The sequence below is a fragment of the Homo sapiens genome, chromosome 15 (genome assembly GCF_000001405.40).
Source record: "Homo sapiens chromosome 15, GRCh38.p14 Primary Assembly".
Taxonomy (NCBI): Eukaryota; Metazoa; Chordata; class Mammalia; order Primates; family Hominidae; genus Homo; species Homo sapiens.
In genome coordinates, this window is record NC_000015.10 from 101,111,470 (window position 1) to 101,132,355 (window position 20,886).

The 20,886-nt window shown below is 50.7% G+C and overlaps 1 long non-coding RNA gene across 1 annotated transcript in view, besides 7 other annotated features; it reads right to left on the bottom strand.

The window, feature by feature from the left end:
• The window catches only part of LRRK1-AS1 (LRRK1 antisense RNA 1), a 109,606-nt gene that overhangs the window by 69,236 nt on the left and 19,484 nt on the right, over positions 1-20,886 (bottom strand). The gene's annotated exons all lie outside the window — the stretch shown is intronic.
• Positions 520-1,306: an enhancer, noted in NCBI's record as "H3K27ac-H3K4me1 hESC enhancer chr15:101652194-101652980 (GRCh37/hg19 assembly coordinates)". NCBI's record gives its function as "activates a minimal SCP1, AML or CMV promoter by ChIP-STARR-seq in naive H9 embryonic stem cells {active_cell/tissue: H9 hESC(naive)}" and the evidence as "EXISTENCE:reporter gene assay evidence [ECO:0000049][PMID:30033119]".
• Positions 6,903-7,404: an enhancer, noted in NCBI's record as "H3K4me1 hESC enhancer chr15:101658577-101659078 (GRCh37/hg19 assembly coordinates)". NCBI's record gives its function as "activates a minimal SCP1, AML or CMV promoter by ChIP-STARR-seq in naive H9 embryonic stem cells {active_cell/tissue: H9 hESC(naive)}" and the evidence as "EXISTENCE:reporter gene assay evidence [ECO:0000049][PMID:30033119]".
• Positions 15,387-15,436: a silencer, noted in NCBI's record as "silent region_6884". NCBI's record gives its function as "represses an Ori minimal core promoter by ATAC-STARR-seq in GM12878 lymphoblastoid cells {active_cell/tissue: GM12878}" and the evidence as "EXISTENCE:reporter gene assay evidence [ECO:0000049][PMID:35858748]".
• Positions 15,727-15,776: an enhancer, noted in NCBI's record as "active region_10183". NCBI's record gives its function as "activates an Ori minimal core promoter by ATAC-STARR-seq in GM12878 lymphoblastoid cells {active_cell/tissue: GM12878}" and the evidence as "EXISTENCE:reporter gene assay evidence [ECO:0000049][PMID:35858748]".
• Positions 16,067-16,176: an enhancer, noted in NCBI's record as "active region_10184". NCBI's record gives its function as "activates an Ori minimal core promoter by ATAC-STARR-seq in GM12878 lymphoblastoid cells {active_cell/tissue: GM12878}" and the evidence as "EXISTENCE:reporter gene assay evidence [ECO:0000049][PMID:35858748]".
• Positions 16,387-16,556: an enhancer, noted in NCBI's record as "active region_10185". NCBI's record gives its function as "activates an Ori minimal core promoter by ATAC-STARR-seq in GM12878 lymphoblastoid cells {active_cell/tissue: GM12878}" and the evidence as "EXISTENCE:reporter gene assay evidence [ECO:0000049][PMID:35858748]".
• Positions 19,778-19,977: a silencer, noted in NCBI's record as "fragment chr15:101671452-101671651 (GRCh37/hg19 assembly coordinates)". NCBI's record gives its function as "represses an EF-1alpha promoter that drives an FKBP-Casp9 reporter gene in an ReSE screen in K562 erythroleukemia cells {active_cell/tissue: K562}" and the evidence as "EXISTENCE:reporter gene assay evidence [ECO:0000049][PMID:32094911]".

Consider the following 20,886-nt stretch of genomic DNA (forward strand, 5'->3'; position numbering starts at 1 on the left):
TGAACCCCCAACACCTGCCTCGGCTGCCTTCCTCGGGATCCCTCCTTCCTTCTCCCAGCTCACAGCCTTGACCTTTACTGAGGATCACAGACACCCCAACTTTCCCAGGACCATCCTGGTCTCAAAAGCTCCCTCCTGGCATCCCTGCATGTCATCAAACTGTCCTAGGTATTATGTGGCTTTGCTGGCCACAAGCAGAACTACCAACAGCAATGAGCAGAGGCTTGAGCAGGTGTCTCGGTTCCTCGGGGAAAAGCTTGTTCTGTGGCCTGTTGGGTGACACCAAAGGCCAGGTGTCACCACAGAGACTCTGACTTGTTGGTGGGGACCTGGACACCGGGCTTTGAAAAGCTCATGGGGGCTCCAACACACAGGTTTGGGGACCCTCAGGGGTTGAGGGTTGCAGGTGATCCTCCAGCCCAGCCAGCCCTGCATGTGCAGGGGACCCTGGGGAGGGGCAGGGGAGCTAGGGTGGGTGTGGCTGCAGCACCCCCTGAGGCCCCCTCAGGAGAGCCGGGTTACCCATCGCTGGCAAGCAGCTCCCTGCATGTGTGAGTCCCTAGGTTGCCGTCTCCAAACGGACATCTGTGCGGCTCAGTCACCAGACAAACTGGGGCCACCCATTGCCACAGCTGCAGAGGCGCGACTTAAAGAGCGAAGTGTAAAGTATTCGGGTTGGGTGGTTCTGACTGTACCAAGGGACGTGTGCATCAGACCTGCTTACCTCACCCCAGGGGGGACAAGCCTGGGGCAATTTTAGGGTCGAGGGTGCGCCACCGTATCCCAGATCCCCAGGACCCAGCCCAGGCTGAGCTGGACACTAGTCTGGGGCCTGCCAGCCCCTCCCCACCCTGGACAGGGCTTGTGCACTCAGCAGGGCTTTCTTCCCAGGGGTTTTCTGCTCAGCCCCCTGCACTGAGGGTTTCCTACAACTAGCTTAGTCACTGGGGTCTCGGCTTATCAGCCTCAAGTCACACATGACATCAGCACCCAGAGGTGTGAGCCCGTCCCCATCCATTCATTTCCTCCACACACATGCTTTCCAGGGGCCAGGCACTGTGCTAGACCCAGGGACACCATGACAGATGCCACAGATGAGGTCCCCCATGCCGTGGACGTCCGTTCAGGTGGGTAAGACTGACATAAATAAGCACACGGATAAATGAGCCAGGCTGTGCCAGGTCGTGACAGGCAGGGGCAAGAGCACGAGGCTCACAGGGACACCTGGAGCAAGGCGTCCAACATCACGCTGGGTGGTCGGGAAGCTGGAAGAGGTGGCATGAGCCCAGCGGGTTTCTTGGAAAAGTAAACACACTCAGGGACTTCACTCTGAGCAGGCACCCCAGATCCAGGGAGAATATTCAGTGAGCCCAAGACTCAGGCAGGCCAGGCTCACTGCCTTCAAAATGCACCCAGCCAGGGCCTCTGCTTCCTCCACTCCTCGCTCTCCTGGGCAAGTTGGGGCTGGAAAGCGGGGCAGGAAGCTCAGGCCCTGCCTGGCCTCGAGGCTGATGACATCCTTTGGAACTGTGATTTTCAACCCAGCTGCCAGAAAAGGCCACGGGGAACACCAAGAACCCCTGACATCCAGGCCACACTCCAGCCAGTAGATGAGAATCTCAGGGGCTGGGGTCCAGACATGAGCCTTTTTAAAGCTCCCTAGGGCATGCCCCTGGGCCGCCGAGGGAGCTTCAAGGGAGGCACCCTGGGAAGGCCGCAGAGCTCCACAGGGGTAGAGCGGGTCAGGGCTTTAGGGTCAAGCAGGTCTGCGTTTCAATCCACACTCACAACTTACTTAGGCTCTCTGACCCTCAGTTTCTCATCTGCAAAATGGGTCGATACCCACTCATGGTGTTAGGATTGAACAAGGTAACACAGGTAAGTGCAGGGTGTAGCGCCTGCCCCCTAGGACACACGGTGTTAAATGTAAGTGCCCTGCTCCCATCCAATATCAAGTGGCAAAGAGCAGAGTGGAGTCAGCAGACCCAGGAATGACCCCAATCCTAACCTCTACTGGCTTTGTGAACCTCAGTTTCCCTGTCTGTAAGGTGGGGAGAAGCTCTGTGGGTGCTGGAGGACCTTGGCAGCATGATGCCCTCCCAGGGTGGACCTGCCAGAGCCAGCGGCCTCGCACATTGCATGGCGTCTGGGGATGGACAGCCCAGGGCTGCAGAGACGACCTGCAACCCCGCCGTGGCCTTTTCATTATCACAGAAATAGCTTCTTTCACGTAAAATGATGTGAGCAAAGAGGACCCTGAACTGTGGCTTCAGCAGATCGCTTCTTGCCTGCACAGATCTTCTCCAGGGGCCCTGAGGTCTCAACTCCCTGGGCTGATGTTTATCAGTGAATTCAACGGCCGGCAGCAAGGGCGACAGAGAGGCCACTGAGGGAGGCAATCCTGGGCCCCCAGGATTCACCTCCAGTCTGATAGTCCTCTGCCCTGGGGGGATCCTCAGCATCCACCTTCACCTAGGCCTGGCCTCTGCTCTGCAATTCCCCAAGATCAATGCTCTGGAATGATTTTGGAGGCAGGCAGGGAGCCCCTCCCATGCTCTCCTTCTCCCTCTGGCTTCCATGAAGTGCACACAGGAGGCACCTCACATTCCCTCTCTTCCTTTCTTCTCTCCCTCTTCCCCGAGCATCTCACCAGGGAGGGCCACATCTCTCTGAGGCTAGAGGGAGGGTGAAGACTTCATTGTTTTTGGAAGCCCCTCCTCCTCCCACCGTCAGTTCCCTGCCCTGCCCCGATATCATCGTCCTGGAGCTGCAGAAACACATCGCTGGTCTCCCAAATGAAGTTCTTGCTCCCAGCAAAGGAGGGTCAGGTGTCCCCCACTCTCCCCCCAGGGGCCCCCGCCTCTTGGTGGATGGTGAAGAGCTCCGGTGGCAGGCACAGGCCGCTGGGACATACCACTTCCCCCAGCCCACCCCCAACTTCCCAGGCTTCCTTGGGAATGGAGCTGGAATGAAAGCTGGGAGGTCGTGGGCCCTGAGTCTGGTGGCCAGGCCTGCAGGGGTTCCATCAGGGTGAGAGAAGAGGCCAGTCCTCCCAGCGTGGACCTGCCAGAGCCTCCGGCCTCCCACATCATGTTGCATCTGGGGATGGACAGCCCAGAGCTGCAAAGGTGACCTGCAATCCCACTGATGGTCTTTTCGCTGTTGCAGAAATAGCTGCTTTCATTAAAATGATGCCTCCCAGGGCAGCCAAGGCCAGGGCTGCTGCCTCAAGGACCCTCAACCAGGCGTAGGTCCCAGGACAGCTTTGTGGCTAAGGAAGCCAGTGCATGCTCACCAAGGACCCCTATGGGCCCTCTGTGTCTAGGGGACATGATGTTGGCAACCCAGATCCCTGGGATTCTCCCCACTTGGGGCCACCATGGCGAGAGGAGCCACAGACAGCTGAGGGTGGAGGCCCTGTCTGCGCCATATTTCCTACAGGATGCTGGGAGTGAGCCTTCAAGCTCATCCAGGCCAGGCTATTGCAATTTTTTTTTTCCTTTTAGAGATGGGGTCTCAGGCTGGAGTGCTATGGCAGGATCACAGCTCACCGCATCCTCAAACTCCTGGGCTCAAGCCATCCTCTTGCCTCAGCCTCCCAAGTAGCAGGGACTAGAAGCACACACCACCATGCCCAGATAATTTTTAAAAACTTTTTTAGAGATGGAGTTTCACTCTGTTGCCTAGGGTGGTCTTGAGCTCCTGGGCTCAAGCCATCCCCCTGCCTCAGCCTCCCAAAGTGCTGGGATTACAGGCATGAGCCACGGCACCCAGCTAGGATTTTACTGATTTTTGTTTATAAAAACCTTTTTCTCAAAAAAAAAATCTGACCTGGACATTCAATCAGTGAAGCCTTCAGAAGGGCAGGAGTGGGGATGCGTGCCCCTGAGTCTTGCCCACTCTTTTCTGAGAGCGTTGGCAGGGCCCCGTGGCTCCAAAGGACTGAATGAAATCCTCTGGTTTAGTCCAGTGTGGAGATGCCCATTCTACAGGTGAGGAAACTGAGGCTATGGAGACAGAGTGTGCCTAGCAGACGTGAGTGGCTCCTGCTGCCCCTGTCCCTGGCACTCCTGCCCTATCTTTCACTGGAAATCATTCACATGGCTTCTGCAGCCTGCAGACCGCACTCTGGCCGGCTCCCACCGGAACCCTGACGCGTACCATATTTCTGGTCTGACAGCCAGCCGTTGTAAAACTGAACCTCCTCCTTGTAATCGCCAATAAGTTTCCCCTTGGAGGAGCTGACTTTGAACTTGCAGAGAACAAAGACCCCTTTGTGGCTTGCTTTTGGGAAGAGAGATGGGGGGAGAACTGCATAAATAATATGAGAAGCAGCAACCCCAATTATATTTTGTTACCTTCTCTTGTGAATATGAAATAAAAACCACTTTATTTTGAAAGCTGCAGGGGAGCCAAGTTTCTCCAGCCTGGACGTGGAGGCCCGGGGCCCAGGGCCGGGCCAGCAGGACAGTCACTGTGGTTTCGGGGGCAGCCAGGCCAGCTGTGAGCACATCAGGCTGTACTGGCCCCGCCTGGCCCAGGCGAGGCATCATAAAACATGGCATGAGCCGATTTCTTTCCAGCTGCAGGAACTCCAATTTGTGCAGGAGGAGGGTCATTTCTTTACCATTTGGGGCTGGAAAGAAAATGGCTTTCTCCCCTCCTTCCCCCACCACTGTTCTCAGCCATGCGTGTCTTCCTGAGTTTCCCTCCAGCCTCTTCCTGCCAACACTCCACGCAGCAGGGCCAGCCTGGGGCCCCTGCAGGACTGGCGTGGGGGCTGCAGCTGTCTTCCCACCGCTCCACCCTCCCCCAGCACAGGGAAGTCTGGCCCGGCTCACTGCCTGCGGTTTCTTCATACACTCCATGTCCTGACAGCCTCGTGGCCTGTGCCCACGCTTTCTCCTCTCTTTGGCAAGCCCCATTCTTCCCTTGAGTTAAGGTGTCACCTCCTCTGGGAAGCCCTCCCTTAGTCTCTTCCCACCCACCCTTCCAATATTCAGCATAGGGCAGCGTGGCTTTGTCTCAGTGACCCTTCAATGGACTGAGGTCGTAACTGAGGACATAATTCATCCCTGGGCCCCCAGCACACATCACAGGGCCTGAGTCAAGAGCAGCCTGTGGGTGGATGGTTGAGGAAGCCCACATTCTTCTTACTGCATGCTTCCTGGTGCTTACAGTGGGCAAGGCTCTGTCAACCACAAGCCATCTTCTGTAGGAAAAAAAGGAGAGGGGACTTGTAGGTTAATATAACTGAGGCGTCTGAGTAGGTGGCTTCAGGTATGGCTCTATCCAGGGCCTCTCTATCTCATCTTATCACAGGTAGGCCTCCCCTCATGAAAGGAGCTAAAAAGATGCATCCTACTAGCTCAGCAACCCTGTAGCCCTGTAAAGGGACAGTCCCTCTGTTCCCATAGCTTGGCAAGGTAAATGCTCTGTCCCCACCCAGGCCAGGAGGTCTGGAGGCAGAATCTCTTCTGGGAAAGCAAATTCTCTGGCAATTTTTATGAAGCAGACACCCGAAGAGGGAGGTTCAGGGGACATAAGAGACTTCCCTTCCACTCATTGTGCTATCCAGGATGGCTCTGGGCCTGAAAATTCAAATATAATATTGTATATCTCCTTAATTAAGAATTTATACATCACCTACTTCCAAAAGAGATCCAGGCCACAATATAACTTTGGCTTTGCTTGTAATTCTTCCAAAGAGCTTCATGGAGCCGTAGCTTCCATGGAGAGAGAAGTGGAGTGATGGGCCAGAGGCCATTGGCACGCGTGGCTTTCTGATTGGGGCACCACCTAAACCAAGATTTGCCTTCTAAAGTCGAAGACTTGCTTTCTTTCCCACTCTCCCAGAGGAAACTAAGAAAAAAGTGAAATGTAAGCACTGCTGCCGAAGCTGCCTTTGCCCCACGACCACCGTCTCGTCCCAGCTCATACCTCACGGGGTCAGATAGCTTCAGTCTTCCAGCGAGAGAAATCCTGGTGCCCCAGGCACCTGGGGAGAAGCTCACAGTTACTGTGGCTATTGTCGCTGTTGGTTTGAACTTTCTAATAAAACTGTATCTGTGGCCAGGCGCAGTGGCTCACGCCAGTAATCCCAGCACTTTGGGAGGCCGAGGCAGGCAGATCACTTGAGCTCAGGAGTTTGAGACCAGCTTGGCCAACATGGTGAAACCCTGTCTCTACTAAAAATACAAAAATTAGCTGGGTGTGTTGGCAGGCGCCTGTGATCCCAGCTATTAAGGAGGCTGAGGCAGAAGAATCGCTTGAACCTGGGAGGTGGAGGTTGCAGTGAGCCAAGATTGCACCACTGCACTCCAGCCTGGGTGACAGAGGAAGACTTCATCAGAAGAAAAAAACTGTGTTGGCATATACATATATATATATATCTGAATGTGTCCCCCAAGATTCATGTCTTGAAATGTAATGGCCAGTGTGGTAGTATTAAGAGGTGGGGCCTTTAGGAGGTGACTGCATCATGAGGCAGAGCCCTCACGGATGGGATTAGGGCCCTTAGAAAAGGGCTTGAGGGAACTATGTATATATAGCATATATATATATATATATATATATATACACAGTGGGTGTAATGGGTCCGGAGAGGGTGTCTGGACCCACCACCTCTCTGGTGTCCAGAGAGGGTGTCCTAGTCTATTCAGTCTGCCGTAACAAAATACCTAAGCCTGGGTTATTTATAAAGAACAGACTATTGTCTCACAGTTCTGGAGGCTGGAAAGTTCAAGGTCAAGGCGGCAGCAGGTTCTGTGTCTGGTGAGGGCCCAGTCTCTGCTTCTAAGATGGTGCCTGTTGCCGTGCCCTCCAGAGGGATGAATGCTGCATCCTTCCTCACGTGGCGGAAGGGACCGAAGGGGATGAACCCGCTCCCTCAAGTCCTTTTCTAAGGGCCCTAATCCCATCCGTGAGGGCTCTGCCTCATGACGCAGTCACCTCCTAAAGGCCCCACCTCTTAATACTACCACATTGGCCATTAAATTTCAAGACATGAATCTTGGGGGACACATTCAGATACAGTACAGGGCAACTGACAACCCCAAGGGCAATCCACAGGTAGGTGGAGAGGCGCCAAACAGGCCTGAAAGACAAAGGGCCTCACACTTCTTGGCTACCCCATTCAATCCGCAAGACACTGAGAGAAGGCGACATGGGGCCACGGAGAACAGGGACAGAGGCGCTGCCCTTCCCAGATGCAGGCGTTCAGCTCTGTCAGTCAGTCCCAGGAGGCGGGGTTAGTATGCCCACCTGTCAGTCATTCTCAGGCTGGTGGGGAGCCCCCTTCCTTATCTGGTTGTCCTTCCTTGGAGCCTGGCTGCCCCACTGCCTGACCTTAATTCTCAGGGAAACAGGGAACGGTCAGGGGCAGTGAGGGCCCACAGGAGCTTCAAGGCCGGGAACAGCCAGTGGCACAATTGGCTCAGGCTCCGGGGCATCCAGGCCAGGTAGCAGCCTGCAGGGGGACCTGCGGGACAGCGTTCAAGGGCTGCCCTTCCAAGACAAACCTCTTCCCTGGGACAAAGGACAGGGATGTCATTCCGCTTTCATTCACTCATATGTAGCTGGAGGTTGGAGGCCATGAGATTTTCCTGCCACCTTCTCTCTGGGCAAAAGATTTACTTGAGTGTGCCTCCTGGCCTATCCCCTGCTCTGAGCCCACAACTCCCCACCCCACGCCGGGCCCTGCTGTCCCTTGCTCCAGTCCTGCCCCAACTCTTCCCTAAGATGCCACATGTTTGGGACTCTGCTCAGCAACTAGCATGCAGGCACAGCACAAACAAGACACAGACCCCAGCTTTACTCCACAGTACTCCATCCTGTGACTGGCATCTGAATGGGGGAGCACGCTGCTGTCCTATCCAAGCCAAGGGCCATTGGCACAACATGTGTTGTGCAAACAAGCAGTTGTCATAGTTCAAGTAAAGACAATGGAGAGAGACCCACATCCCCGGTGGGCTGAGCCCAAGGGAGCTGGCACTAAAGTAGACACCATTAGACCATTAGACACCTCATTAAGCTCATGTTGTTCATTTGTGGGGTTTTTTGTTTGTTTTTTGTTTTTTGGGGTTTTTTTGTTTTTTTGTTTTTTTGAGACAGAGTCCCGCTCCGTCACCCAGGCTGGAGTGCAGTGGCGCGATCTTGGCTCACTGCAACCTCTGCCTCCCAGATTCAAGCCGTTCTCCTGTCTCAGCCTCCTGAGTTGCTGGGACTACAGGTGCATGCCACCACACCCAGCTAATTTTTTTTGTATTTTTAGTAGTGACAGGGCTTCACCATATTGGTCAGGCTGGTCTCAAACTCCTGACCTCGGGTGATCCACCCGCCTCAGCCTCCCAAAGTGCTGGGATTACAGGCCTGAGCCACTGCGCCCGGCCTCATTTGTGTTTTTTTTGTTTTGTTTTTTGTTTGTTCATTTGTTTTGAGACAGAGTCTCACTCTGTCACCCAGCCTGGAGTGCAGTGGCACAATCTTGGCTCACTGCAACCTCCGCCTCCCTGGTTCAAGTGATCCTCCTGCCTCAGCCTCCCAAGTAGCTGGGATTACAGGCACATGCCACAATGCCCTGCTAGTTTTTGTATTTTTAGTAGAGATGGGGTTTTGCCATGTTGGCCAGGCCTGGTCTTGAACTCCTGACCTCAGGCAATCTGCCCGCCTCGACCTCCCAAAATGCTGGGATTACAGGTGTGAGCCACGGTGCCTGGCCTAATTCTGTTCATTTGAATGCCATTCCTCTTTTCACGCTGTTTGTATTTAACTTGCAAATGGCTCTTGGTGGTATGATTCTATCACAGCTGTAAGCATAAGAGGGTTATGCCTGCTTGCAGGTGTTTATGTACTTAAGTAGCAGTATAATAAAAATCATTTAAACCAACACTAGGGGACCAAGAGAATCTTTCCCCCTAAAATGAGGGTGGAAAGTTGTCCTCCATTATTTGAGTTTGAGAATCATGTGATAAAACAATCAGCTTTGATGTGTCTACAGCCATTAAGTGACTTAATGAGGAGATGGCCCGGAAGAGGATTGAAAGCATGGGCTGCTCGGTGTGAGCCCACACTCCTCTGTGAGCTCTGACCTGAGGAAAGGGACTTGGCCTCTCTGAGCCAGGTTTCACATCTGAAAACTGGGGTCAGGGCCTCTGTCCGGGCCAGCTGTCACTCATGTGTCTGCGGCAGAAGCCTGATAGGTGGTGGGTGTTCCCTCTCCTCTGGGGTTACTCGGTCCAGGCTCCTCTGACAGGCACAGCCTTGACCCATGAAAAGCCCTTCTCCAGAGGGATGCCAGGCCCCATATCAGGCAGGACAGAAGAAAGTTTTGTTGGGGGCCTGGGGAAGTGGCCCCCAAGACCCTCCAGGGCCAGCCTCCCGTTTGGCTGTGGGGCAAGAATTCCAGCACCCAACAGTCTCAAATCCAAGCCAAAGCATGGCCTCAGATCTACCACGTCCTCAACACTACCACGGGGGACTTGCTCACCCCTCACTCCAGGGCCAGCTCAGGTGGGGGCAAGCAGAGGGTGACCAGCAGGTGTAGCCTGAGAGCCGAGGCCAGCAGGAGGTACAGACGGAGTTTGAAAGCGTCAGAGCCCATCTGGCTGAGGGAGTCACATGTGCAACTCAGAGCACCCCGGGCCTCCTGACCTGAGCAGGGGTCAGCAGGTGCCCATGCCAGACCCAGGTCCTCTGTCCCGGCCGCCGTGCCTGGCAGCCGCTGATGAGCCCAGCGTGAGGCCGGTGAGCTGGGCCAGGTGGGGAGGTGGCGCGGGCCAGGCAGGGAGACTGGGAAAGGAGGGCTTCGGGCGTCTCCGTGACGAGCTGTGGTTGCAGGCTGGCCTGGCTCCCAGCGTGGCCCCCCAAATCACGGGCCTCCCAGCTCACCCTGGACACTGGGGCACCGGGCCCAGAGTCCACCCAGCAGGGGCCAGGAGGATTTACTGACAAGGCGAAGGTCTGATTTATTTTTACTTTTCAGGGTTGCCCCCACCAAAATGAAGGCTGCTATTAAACCCGCAGCCACTAAAAATAAATATTTAAACGCCACATTTGTGCAGCTGAGCCAGGCTGGGCGCGCCTTACAGGCATGCCATTTCCTCGGGTGGCTGGGACAATGACACCCTCGCACGTCCGGGAGCCGCAGCCCTGAAGGGGCCGGGCCTCAGCCCAGTGAGAGGACAAATCCTGCTGTCCAAGAACATCTTTATTCCCCAGTATCTGGGGAAAGCAGCAACTGGCTAGAGGAGGGGACAGAAGGAGACCGAGAAAGGAGAAGCGTCTCCAGGGAGTCCTCCCCTCACGAGGGCGCCAGCAGCCCCGAGACGCCCCACGGCCCGGCCTGGCTGCCTCACTCCAGCTGTGCGGGTCCTGCCGAGACACAAGACAACACGGCCCTGGACACAGCGAGGTCAGAAACCAGACGCAGCAGGGACTGCGCGGGCTGGGAAGGCTGGGCCCTCCAGCTGGGAGAGGGTTGCCTGGAGAGAAGGAAGTCCCCAGGCTGCCAGCGACCTGCTGCTCCTTCCCAAGCCCAGGATTTCCCAAAGCAGCTTTTCCCTTCCAGACGCTGGGGTGCAGGGCCCAAGACTTCCCAAAACAGCTTTTCCCATCCAGAGGCTGGGGTGTAGGGCCCATGACGGTTCTGCTTTAGTGTCGGGGATGAAAGAGAGGGAAAAAGGGCTGGGAGAGAAACAGAGAAACAGAAAGAAAGAAACAGACAGAAGACACAGAGACACAGAGAGAGGAAAGAGACAGAGACAGAAAGAGAGCAGAGAGAGACAGACACAGAGAGAGAGAGGCCCGGGGAAGAGAGACACACAGAGAGAGAAAAGAAATAAAAAGCAGGGGTGTGGAGTGGGGCGCTTAGCGACAGAGGAAGAGGAAAGAGGGGGAAAGAGACCTTGCTCACGGTGTACAGGGCTAGTCAGGGAGCGAGAGTGGCGGGCAGACCCTGCCCGGACCGCTGGACCCCTGAGCCTCCCCCTGCAGAGCAGCCTCCCTTACCATGTGGGAATGGAGCCCCCAGCCACCAAGGACCCTGGTGGACCAGACGTGGTCTGGTTGAGGACATCCTGGGTGACCAGAGTCATCCAGACCTTCCAGGTGGGACTGAAGAAGCTGCTGCTCGCCAGGGACCTGTAACTTGGGGTGCACTTGGAAATAAGGTTTTCGATATTTTGTGAATAGCACAAGTGTTCTCCCCCTGTATTTTCATTAAAGCACTATCAGTTAGTTAAATGTGCATCTCAATGCTTGTCATCCTGTTTTGTCTGTCTCTGGCTTTCTTTTTTCATATACTAAAAACCTCAAAAACCAAAAGTGGCCAGGCCCCCGTCCACCCGCGGCTCACTGGGTAGGCTGATGTGGCTCTCTAAGTGCCCTGGCTAAGTGCTCTCTGACCTAAACAGATCCCAGGTCCTAGAGCAGCCCCTGGGGAAGCCCTGCACCTCACAATGTTGACACCTTTGAACTCTGTTGCCACTTAAAAGTCACTGGAACCTGGGACCCTGAACACCAGGGGGCCAGGGGAGTCAGCCGGCGGCAGCCCATGGCAAGGCCACCAAGCTGGGGCTGGGCAGCTGGGAAGGAGGGGCTCTGAGGCAGGTGCTCAGCCCACCTGGGAGGGCTGGCGGAGGTTCCTGAGGTAGCACCAGCTTTGGGCAGCAAAAGCCGGTAGCACTGAGACACTCCGGGGGACACGTATCACCAAGGCCCATCCTGCCCCTGACCTAGCTGGGCGTTATTATGGAAGGTATCTCCTTTTCTGTCCTCTCCCACCCTCTGAAAATATCTTCAGAGAATCAGTATGAAGAGAAATAGTTCCCCTCACTATTCCATAATACAGCCCTTTTACATATTTTATCCCATCTGATGTTCACAACAGCCCCACCCTCACTCCCATTGCTTGGGTCTCTGTGCTGCTTCTCAAACACCCCAAGTCCTTTTCTGCCCCAGGACATTTGCACGTGCTCTTCCTCTTGATATTAATACTCTTCCCCATGTCTCATTCCCTCTCTTCATTCAGGCCTCTATTAAATGTCCTCTTCTCTGAAGATGCTTACTTTACAACCATGTGTGACTATCCAGGAAAATTCTCCTGTTCTTAGGAAACACTCTGGCATGTTCAGAGATTGCAGTGAATTAAAATGTCAGAGATTCTTTGCAGATTCCTTCCATCTTCTCCCATCAAGAGGCACAGGCTAGTTCCCCACCCCTCTAATCTGGCCAAGCCTTGCAACTTGCTGTGACTCATAAAGAGTGGCACAAGAGACACCATGTGACTCCAAATAAGGCCTTAAGGGGCCTTCCATCTTCGCTTTTGTCCCTCTGGAACTCCGGTCCCTGTGAGAAGCCCGAGCCAGCCTGCCGGAGGGGCACATGGAGGAGAACCAAGGCCCCCAGGCCAACTGCCCCAGCTAAGTGCTGGGGACGTGAGGAGGACAGTTGGGACCCGTCACAAAGTTTAGAGTGATTTTTAGGAAGGAATGTCAAACTGTAACAAGAGGGAAGAACAAAGGCCTGCCACTTAAATTTTTGAAAATAAGAAGTTGAGGGAAAACAGAAATAAAACTTCAAGTAGCTACATCTATGGTCAATTGATTTGCAAGAAGTGTGTCAAGATAAGTTGATGGGGAAAGAATCATCTTTTCAAAAAATGGTGCTGAAACAAAAGGATGGATTTGGACTACTGTCTCACACGACATTAAAAAATTTACTCAAAATGGATCAAAGACTTAAATGTAAGAGCTAAAACTTAAAAACATCTCAGAAGCAAACAGACGTCAATCTCCTTGACCTTGGATTAGGCAATGGTTTCTTTAGATTAGATACCATCAGCAACAAAAGAAAGCAAACCACCAAGAAAGTGAAAGAACGATACAAATAATGAGACAAAATACTTGGAAATAATGTATCTGATGAAGACTTCCTTCTAGGATGTATAAAGAATTCTTAAAACTCAGTAATAAAAAGACAAAATAACCCAATTCAAAAATGACTGAAGGAATTGAATAGACATTTCTCCAAAGAAGACATACAAAAATGGCCAATAATCACATCAAAAGTCATTGGAAAGGCAAATCAAAACCACAGAGGCTGGGTGCAGTGATTCATGCCTGTAATCCCAGCACTTTGGGAGGCCAAGGCGGGCAGATCACTTGAGGTCAGGAGTTCGAGACCAGCCTGGCCAACATGGCGAGAGCCCATCTCTACAAAAAAATACAAAAAAATTAGTTGAATGTGGTGGCAGGTGCCTGTAGTCCAAGCTACTCAGGAGGTTGAGGCAGGAGAATCGCTTGAACCTGGGAGTGGGGGGATTGCAATGAGCCAAGATTGCACCACTGCACACCAGCCTGGGTGACAGAGCAGAACTCTGTCTCTGGGAAAAAAAAAAAAAAAAAAAGGAACCGCAGTGAGAGACCATTTCACACCTACTAGAATGACTCTAATTTTTAAAGGGCAGCTAAGCGTTAGTGAGGATGTGGAGAAATTGCTGGGACTGGATATACACTCACAAAAGGACGAATCCCTTGGCGGTTGTTCAAAACGTTAAACATAGTTTCCACATGACCAGCAATTCCACTCGTAGGTCTATGCCCAGGAAAAATGAAAACCTCCATTCACACAAAATCTTCTACATGAATCTTCATGGGAGCATGATTCACAATGGCCAAAAGGTGACAATAACCCAAATGCCTAGCAGCTGACGAATGGAGAAGAAAATCTGGTATAGCCATACAAGGGAATATGATTCAGGAAGGAAAGCAAAAGGAAGGGAATTCTGACATGCTACAATATGGAAGAACCTTGAAAACATTACGCTAAGGGAAAGAAACCAAATGCAGAAGTCACCTATTATATGATTTCACTTCTATTAAATTCTGAGAATAGGCAAATCCATGAAGACATAGACTAGTGGCTGCCCAGGGCTGAGGGAAGTGAAGAGTGACTGCTCGTGGTATGGGGTTTATTTTTCAGGTGACAAAGATATTCTAGAATTAGATAGCAGTGAAAGCTGTACAACCTTGTGAGTACGGTTAAAGGAAAAAGAAAAAGCAAACACTGAATTGTATACTTTAAAACAGTGAATTTTATGGTATATCAATTATATTTCAGTAAATGAGACAAAACATCTGCAAAAGATAAAACTTGGGCAACTACTATATTTTCTCTAATATTTAATTTTCTTGATTTGTTCCTTAGTTTTAAATTAATAATTTAAAAAGAACATGTTTCCAATTTTAAATATATCATTCCAATGTAGTAAAATATTTCATATATGAACTAAAATGTCCCCTCACCTTGCAGTTTGTGCTCTTGTACTGTTTTTTGGGGTTGTTAGTTTGTTTTTGAGACTGAGTCTCACACTGTCACCCAGGCTGGAGTGCAGTGGCGCGATCTCGGCTCACTGCAACCTCTGCCTCCTGAGTTCAAGGGATTCTCCTGCCTCAGACTCCCGAGTAGCTGGGATTACAGGCGGCTGCCACCACGCCCAGCTAATTTTTTGTATTTTTAGTAGAGACAGGGTTTCACCATGTTGGTCTGGCTGGTCTTGAACTCCTGACCTTGTGATCCGCCCACTTCGGCCTTCCAAAGTGCTGGGATTACCGGCAGGCATGAGCCACCGCTCCTGGCCTCTTATACTGTTTTAAATGTTAAACACAAACAAGACTTCAATGGTCACACAGAATACAGAATTGAAGTAACTTAAGTTCCGAATCTTCCTCTTTCCGATCACTGTGCTATTGTTGCTTCGTCAAATCTGCTGTTTAAATGTAGGAATTCACAGCACCCTGGGGCACTGGAGACGTGAATGATGTCCAAAGTGGCTTCAGACGGCTCACAACTTACTTTTGAAAAGCACATTTCTGGACCGACTTTATACCTGGGAGTTCTGAAATTAACTTTCACTTGGAATACAAAGCTTATCAAAGGATAATAAATAAAATCATGTTGATTTGAAGTATATATATATATACATAAACCCTCACAATTGTTTAGAATTTAGATCAACAAAATATTTTCCCTGGCAGGAGTATTTAATCATGCCTGGTAATTAGAAAAACAAACAACAGCAACAAAAACACCAGTCGTCTGACTTAGTAGATTTTATTATTGTGACTTCAGTGACAGTGTGTCACCTCGCTGCCTGAACCCAGGCCCACAGCTCCCACTACCCCGCCCTCACTTTCTATTTCCCTAGCGCTTTGAAGATTCCATTTTACCCACCGCAGGAGAACATTATGAGGCTAGGTAATATAATCCCCATTTGACAGATGAGAAAGCAGGGGGCCCAGAGAGGCTTATCCAAGGGCCAGCAGGAGGGGACAGAGCCTAGAAGCTGGTTCTGCAGGGCTCAGCTCCCACTTCTCAGGGCACAGTCCCGACTAGCCCCTCTTATTAGTGACCGTGGGTGGGTCTACTCCCCACAGTTCCGGCTGCCAGACTTACCCAGGCTGTGCCTCATCCTCGCAGTACCTACCTGCTCTCAGCTTGGAAAGAACCTGGAAATTCATTCACACCCAGGTTCTGAGGGCTGCTAACAGGCTTCTTTCCCAAGAGGTAATTGCCTTTATCAAAGAGGGTGCTCTTTAATGAGCTGAAAGAATGCCTCTGCAAGTCGGGCCTCCTCCCTAGGCTGCTGGGATCACTGGTACACATCTGTTCTCCCCCATCTCACCTCAGGAGTAGTTTGCTCCCCAGGGAGGAGCCCTGCCTGAGAGTAAATCCAAAGAGACGTCCCACAGTTAACTCAGCCTCAAAAGCATTTGGAGTTGCAAACTAAATGACATAGTCTCATGACTTGTGTCTGATTCTGTGGATCTAAGAAAATCCAGTTTCTCCCTAACTAACGCCAGCATCCTACAGCCTAGCCTCTGCCTGGTGAACACAGACAGCCTTGCCGGGGCCTGGCAGAAGGAGTGCTAAGAGGACAGGGCCTCACAGACCCTAGAAGTGGGTCTCACCCTTCTCAGCTCACTCAGATGCTTTGTCTCCAGAGTTCTCAGATTTACAAAGCTTAATGAGTGCCAATTTACTCATTATTGTCCTCCCAGGCCTCACAACGCATTAAAATCCTTCTGCACAGACAGATTAGGAGACAAGCCTAAGGAAAACGTACATCTGCTTTAAAAAAAAAAAAATGCAGTTTCAGGTTCCACTTTACATCAGCCAGGGTTTAGTTACAGGAAACAGAAACCACTCTAACAATTTTAAGCAAAAAGGGGTTTAGACAGGAAATTAGGGGCTTACCGTTTTATTGAGAGGCATGGGCCAGGCCTATTGGCGTGGTGCCCGGAAAAAGGCCTGGGGACCAGCCGGCTGGGCTCTGCTAGCCTGACTCCACTCAGCCAGGTGGGGGTCGGGAGGCTCCCAGTGCTGTACCATACCTGCCTCTTGACCCCACAAAGGGACTGAATGGACCCTGGAACGCTGCCACAGGAAAAACAACCACCACAACTTTGCTCGCCAGCAGAAACGGCCAAAAGCAGCAGGAGGAGAGTCTTGGCCTCTGAATCATAGTGGTGTGCGAAGAATTGGCAGGACTATGGATGTGCTGGAGCTGGCTCAGCCTAGTGACAGCCAACGGTGCACGGCAATTCCAATTCCAGGTCCAGGGACACCAGGGGATAGCAAGATTGAAATTGACCACAGTGGATATATTTACACCATGGAAATCAGCAAGCACTAACAGCCGGGTTGCTTTTGTTTTGTGTTGTTTTTTTGTTTTTTTTTGAGAGCTGGTTGTTAAACATTGACCACCGGGCATAACCCATTTCACATTTAGAACTCTAGCGGCAAGGGAAGCGGGAAAAGCAGTGGCTCACCTTCCAGCCTTTGAAGGAACAGCGAGGAGAGCACACAGAATGCTAGCTGCCAAGCCGTCCTCCATGACACACACTCCTAGGAATGTACCCTGCAGTAAATTTGCACATGTGTGAGGGATGAATGGCTGCTGATGCTGCACTTTGCTAGTAATTACGTGGAAGCAACATTTCTTAACGCAATTGCTCTTGAGCATATGTGAAGTTTATTAACCCTGGAGCTAGGGAATTGGCAAGGGGACAGAAGAGTGGGTTGGTTCAAAGATGGCTTGGAAATTGTTGATTTGTATCTACAGGGGGGAAAGAATGCTTGCATAAGCAGCTAATTAAGAAGAGGCAGCTAATAAGGTCAAGCTTACAGTTTCATTTAACATGATCGTTAAAACGTCATTTCCCTATCGGCTGGAACAAGCGAGGTTTGAGGCACAGTAATCTTGGGGGTGATTTCTAGAGAGGCCAACCTTTCATCCGAAATAATAAGAAACACATCCAAGGTGCACTTCATCTGTGGCTCTTAATTAGACAAAGCTACACGGTTTTGTGCCCCAGCTGAGCTGGACGAGAGCCCGTCAGCTCCAAGGCAGCAAGCATTGTCAAGCAGAGGTCACAGCAAAGCGCCAGGCAAGCAGGGTCTGCACTGGCCTCTGGGCTGCTCAAGCTTCTGGTTCTAAGGGACTGAATGTGCAGGTCGCCCAGCCCTCCGTATTGTTTTTATTTGACAATAGCCAAATATGGCAACAAGTTGCTATGCACTGAATTGTGTCCTCTCTAAATCCATATGTTGAAGCCTGAATCCTGCAGTGTGACAGTATTTGCAGATAGGGCTATTAGGAGGCAATCAGGGTTAGATGAGATCAGAAGGAGGTGGCCCTGATTCTCTAGGGCTGGTTTCCTCTTAAAAACAGGGAGAGATGCTGGGTGCAGTGGCTTGCACCTGTAATCCCAGCACTTTGGGAGGCCTAGGTGGGCAGATCACAAGGTCAAGAGATCGAGACCATCCTGGCCAACATGGTGAAACCCCATCTCTACTAACAAAAATTAGCTGGGTGTGGTGGCACATGCCTGTAATCCCAGCTACTTGGGAGGCTGAGGCAGGAGAATCGCTTGAACCTGGGAGGCAGAGGTCGCAGTGAGCCAAGATCGCACCACTGTACTCCAGCCTGGTGACAGAGCCAGACTCTGTTTCAAAAAAAAAAAAAAAAATAGGGAGAGACACCAGAGTGTTCCCTCTCTGCCTTTGAGGCTACAGCAAGAAGGCAGCCACCTATGAGCCAGGAAGAGAGCTCTCACCAGGAAACAGCTCTGATGGCACCTTGATCTTGGACTTCCAGCCTCCAGAACTGTGAGAAAATCAATGTCTGTTGTTTAAGCACCCCAGTTGGTGATATCTGTTAACAGCAGCCGGAGCTGACTAGCATACAAGCTAAATGTCCATTCATAGGGAACTGGTTGGAGTAAAGAGACAAGTCACAGAATGGAAGAAAATTTTGTAAATAATATATCTGATATGGGATTAATATCCAGGATATATGGAGAACTCCTGAAACTCAACAACAACAACAAACAACAAAACCCAATTTGAAAATGGGCAAAGGATTGAATAGATGTTTCCCCAAAGAAGATGGCCAACAAACACAGGAAAAGATGTTTAACTCACTAATCATTAGGGAAATGCAAATCAAAACTACGAGATACCACTGCTTACCCATTATGAGGGCTACTATTTAAAAAAAAAAACAGACAATAGCAAGTGTTGGCAAGGATGTGAAGAAATTGGAATTCTTGTGATGCTGGGAATGTAAGATGTTGCCGCTGTGTGGAAAATAGTACAGCAGTTCCTCAGAAAGTTAAAAATTGAATTACAATATGATCTAACAGTTTCACTTCTGGGTCTGTAGCCGAAAGAACGGAAAGCAGCATCTCAAAGAGAAATTTGTACACCAATGTTCATAGAAATGTTATTCACAACAGCTAAAATGTGGAAGCAAGCTGAGCATGCATGGATGAATGAATGGATAAAGAACATGGTAAATACAGACAATGAATATTACTCAGCCTTCAAAAGGAACAAAAGTCTGAGACACATTGCAGGAGGCATGAACCTTGAAGACATAATGCCGAGTGAAATAAGAAAGGACTGTGTGATTCCACTTGGATGAGATAACTGGAGGAGTCAAAATCATAGAGACAGAAGGAACAGTGGTTGCCAGGGGCTGGGCAAGGGAAGAGCGGTATGGGGAGTTAGTATTTAATGTGCACAGAGTTTTGATTTTATAGGATGAGAGTTCTGTGGAGGGGCTGGGCAAGGGAAGAGCGGCATGGGGAGTTAGTATTTAATGCGTACAGAGTTTTGATTTTATAGGATGAGAGTTCTGTGGAGGGGCTGGGCAAGGGAAGAGCGGCATGGGGAGTTAGTATTTAATGTGCACAGAGTTTTGATTTCATAGGATGAGAGTTCTGTGGAGGGGCTGGGCAAGGGAAGAGCGGCATGGGGAGTTAGTATTTAATGCGCACAGAGTTTTGATTTCATAGGATGAGAGTTCTGTGGAGGGGCTGGGCAAGGGAAGAGCGGCATGGGGAGTTAGTATTTAATGCGTACAGAGTTTTGATTTTATAGGATGAGAGTTCTGTGGAGGGGCTGGGCAAGGGAAGAGCGGCATGGGGAGTTAGTATTTAATGCGTACAGAGTTTTGATTTCATAGGATGAGAGTTCTGTGGAGGGGCTGGGCAAGGGAAGAGCGGCATGGGGAGTTAGTATTTAATGCGCACAGAGTTTTGATTTCATAGGATGAGAGTTCTGTGGATGAATAGTGGTGATGGTTGCACAACAGTGGGAATGTACTTAATATCACTGAACTGCACACCTAAAAAGGGTTGATATGTGATATGGTTTGGACTTGTGTCCCCGCCCAAATCTCATGTCAAATTGTAATCCCCAGTGTTTGAGGAGGGACCTGGTGGAAGGTGACTGGATCACGGGGGTGGATTCCCCCCTTGCTGTTCTTGTGACAGTGAGTTCTCACAAGACCTGGTTGTTTAAAAGTGTGTGACACCTCCCCCTTCACTCTCTTCCTCCTGCTCCAGCCACGTAAGACGTACCTCCTTCCTCTTTACCTGCTGCGATGATTGTAAGTTTCCTGAGGTCTCCCCAGCCATGCTTCCTGTACAGCCTGCAGAACCAGGAGCCAATTAAACCTCTTTTCTTTATAAGTAACCCAGTCTCAGGTACTTCTTTATAGCAATGCGAAAATGGACTAATACGATATGGTAAATTTTATGCTGTGTGTATTTTACCACAGTAAAATTTTTTTAATAGAGAGCTGGTTAAATATAGTGCATCTATCCAGGGCCTCATTGAATACCATGTGAAAGGTACTGCCTAGAGTTGTGCAAACAGCAGTATTGACTCCGATGATGAAATACCATGCCACCATTAACACAAAAGAGGTAGCTCTATATGCATAAGGAATGAGCTCTATAACATGTTAAGCCAAAAGAAAAGAAAGGAACAAATCATTATGTATAGTATGCTGCCATTCAGGTTAAAAGTGGTAAAAGGAGTCTATAAATGTATTTGCCTGACTAAGCAAAAATATCTCCCGAAAGATACTCAAGAAAATGGCCCCACTGGTTTTCTCCAGGAAAGAGTCACTAGACGCAGGAGCAGGAAAGGAGATTTTTACCAGATGCTTTTTGGTTCATTTTAAATTTTGTACTAATATACAACTATTGCCAACTCAAAAATATTTAATTTTTAAAAGATCGTTGCAGGAGTGAAAATACACCAGCCGTTGAAGCGTGTATGCGGCCCTGGAGACCGTGGGTTGGAGCGGATGCCTTAGGTATCTGCTTCGCTGTAGGGACTAACACCGGACTTCAGGGCTCGCAGGGGGCTGGAGTCCTGGGTCTTACCTTGAGTGAGTCACTGACCCCTCTGGCCTCCCCTCTGCCCTCAGGTTCCTCATCTGTGGCCACCCTGCGACAGGAATAGACGTAGCCTATGCATCTACAGATCTAGGCGTGAGGTGGGCCTCTCCTCCTAGGCAAGGCAGGGGCTCAG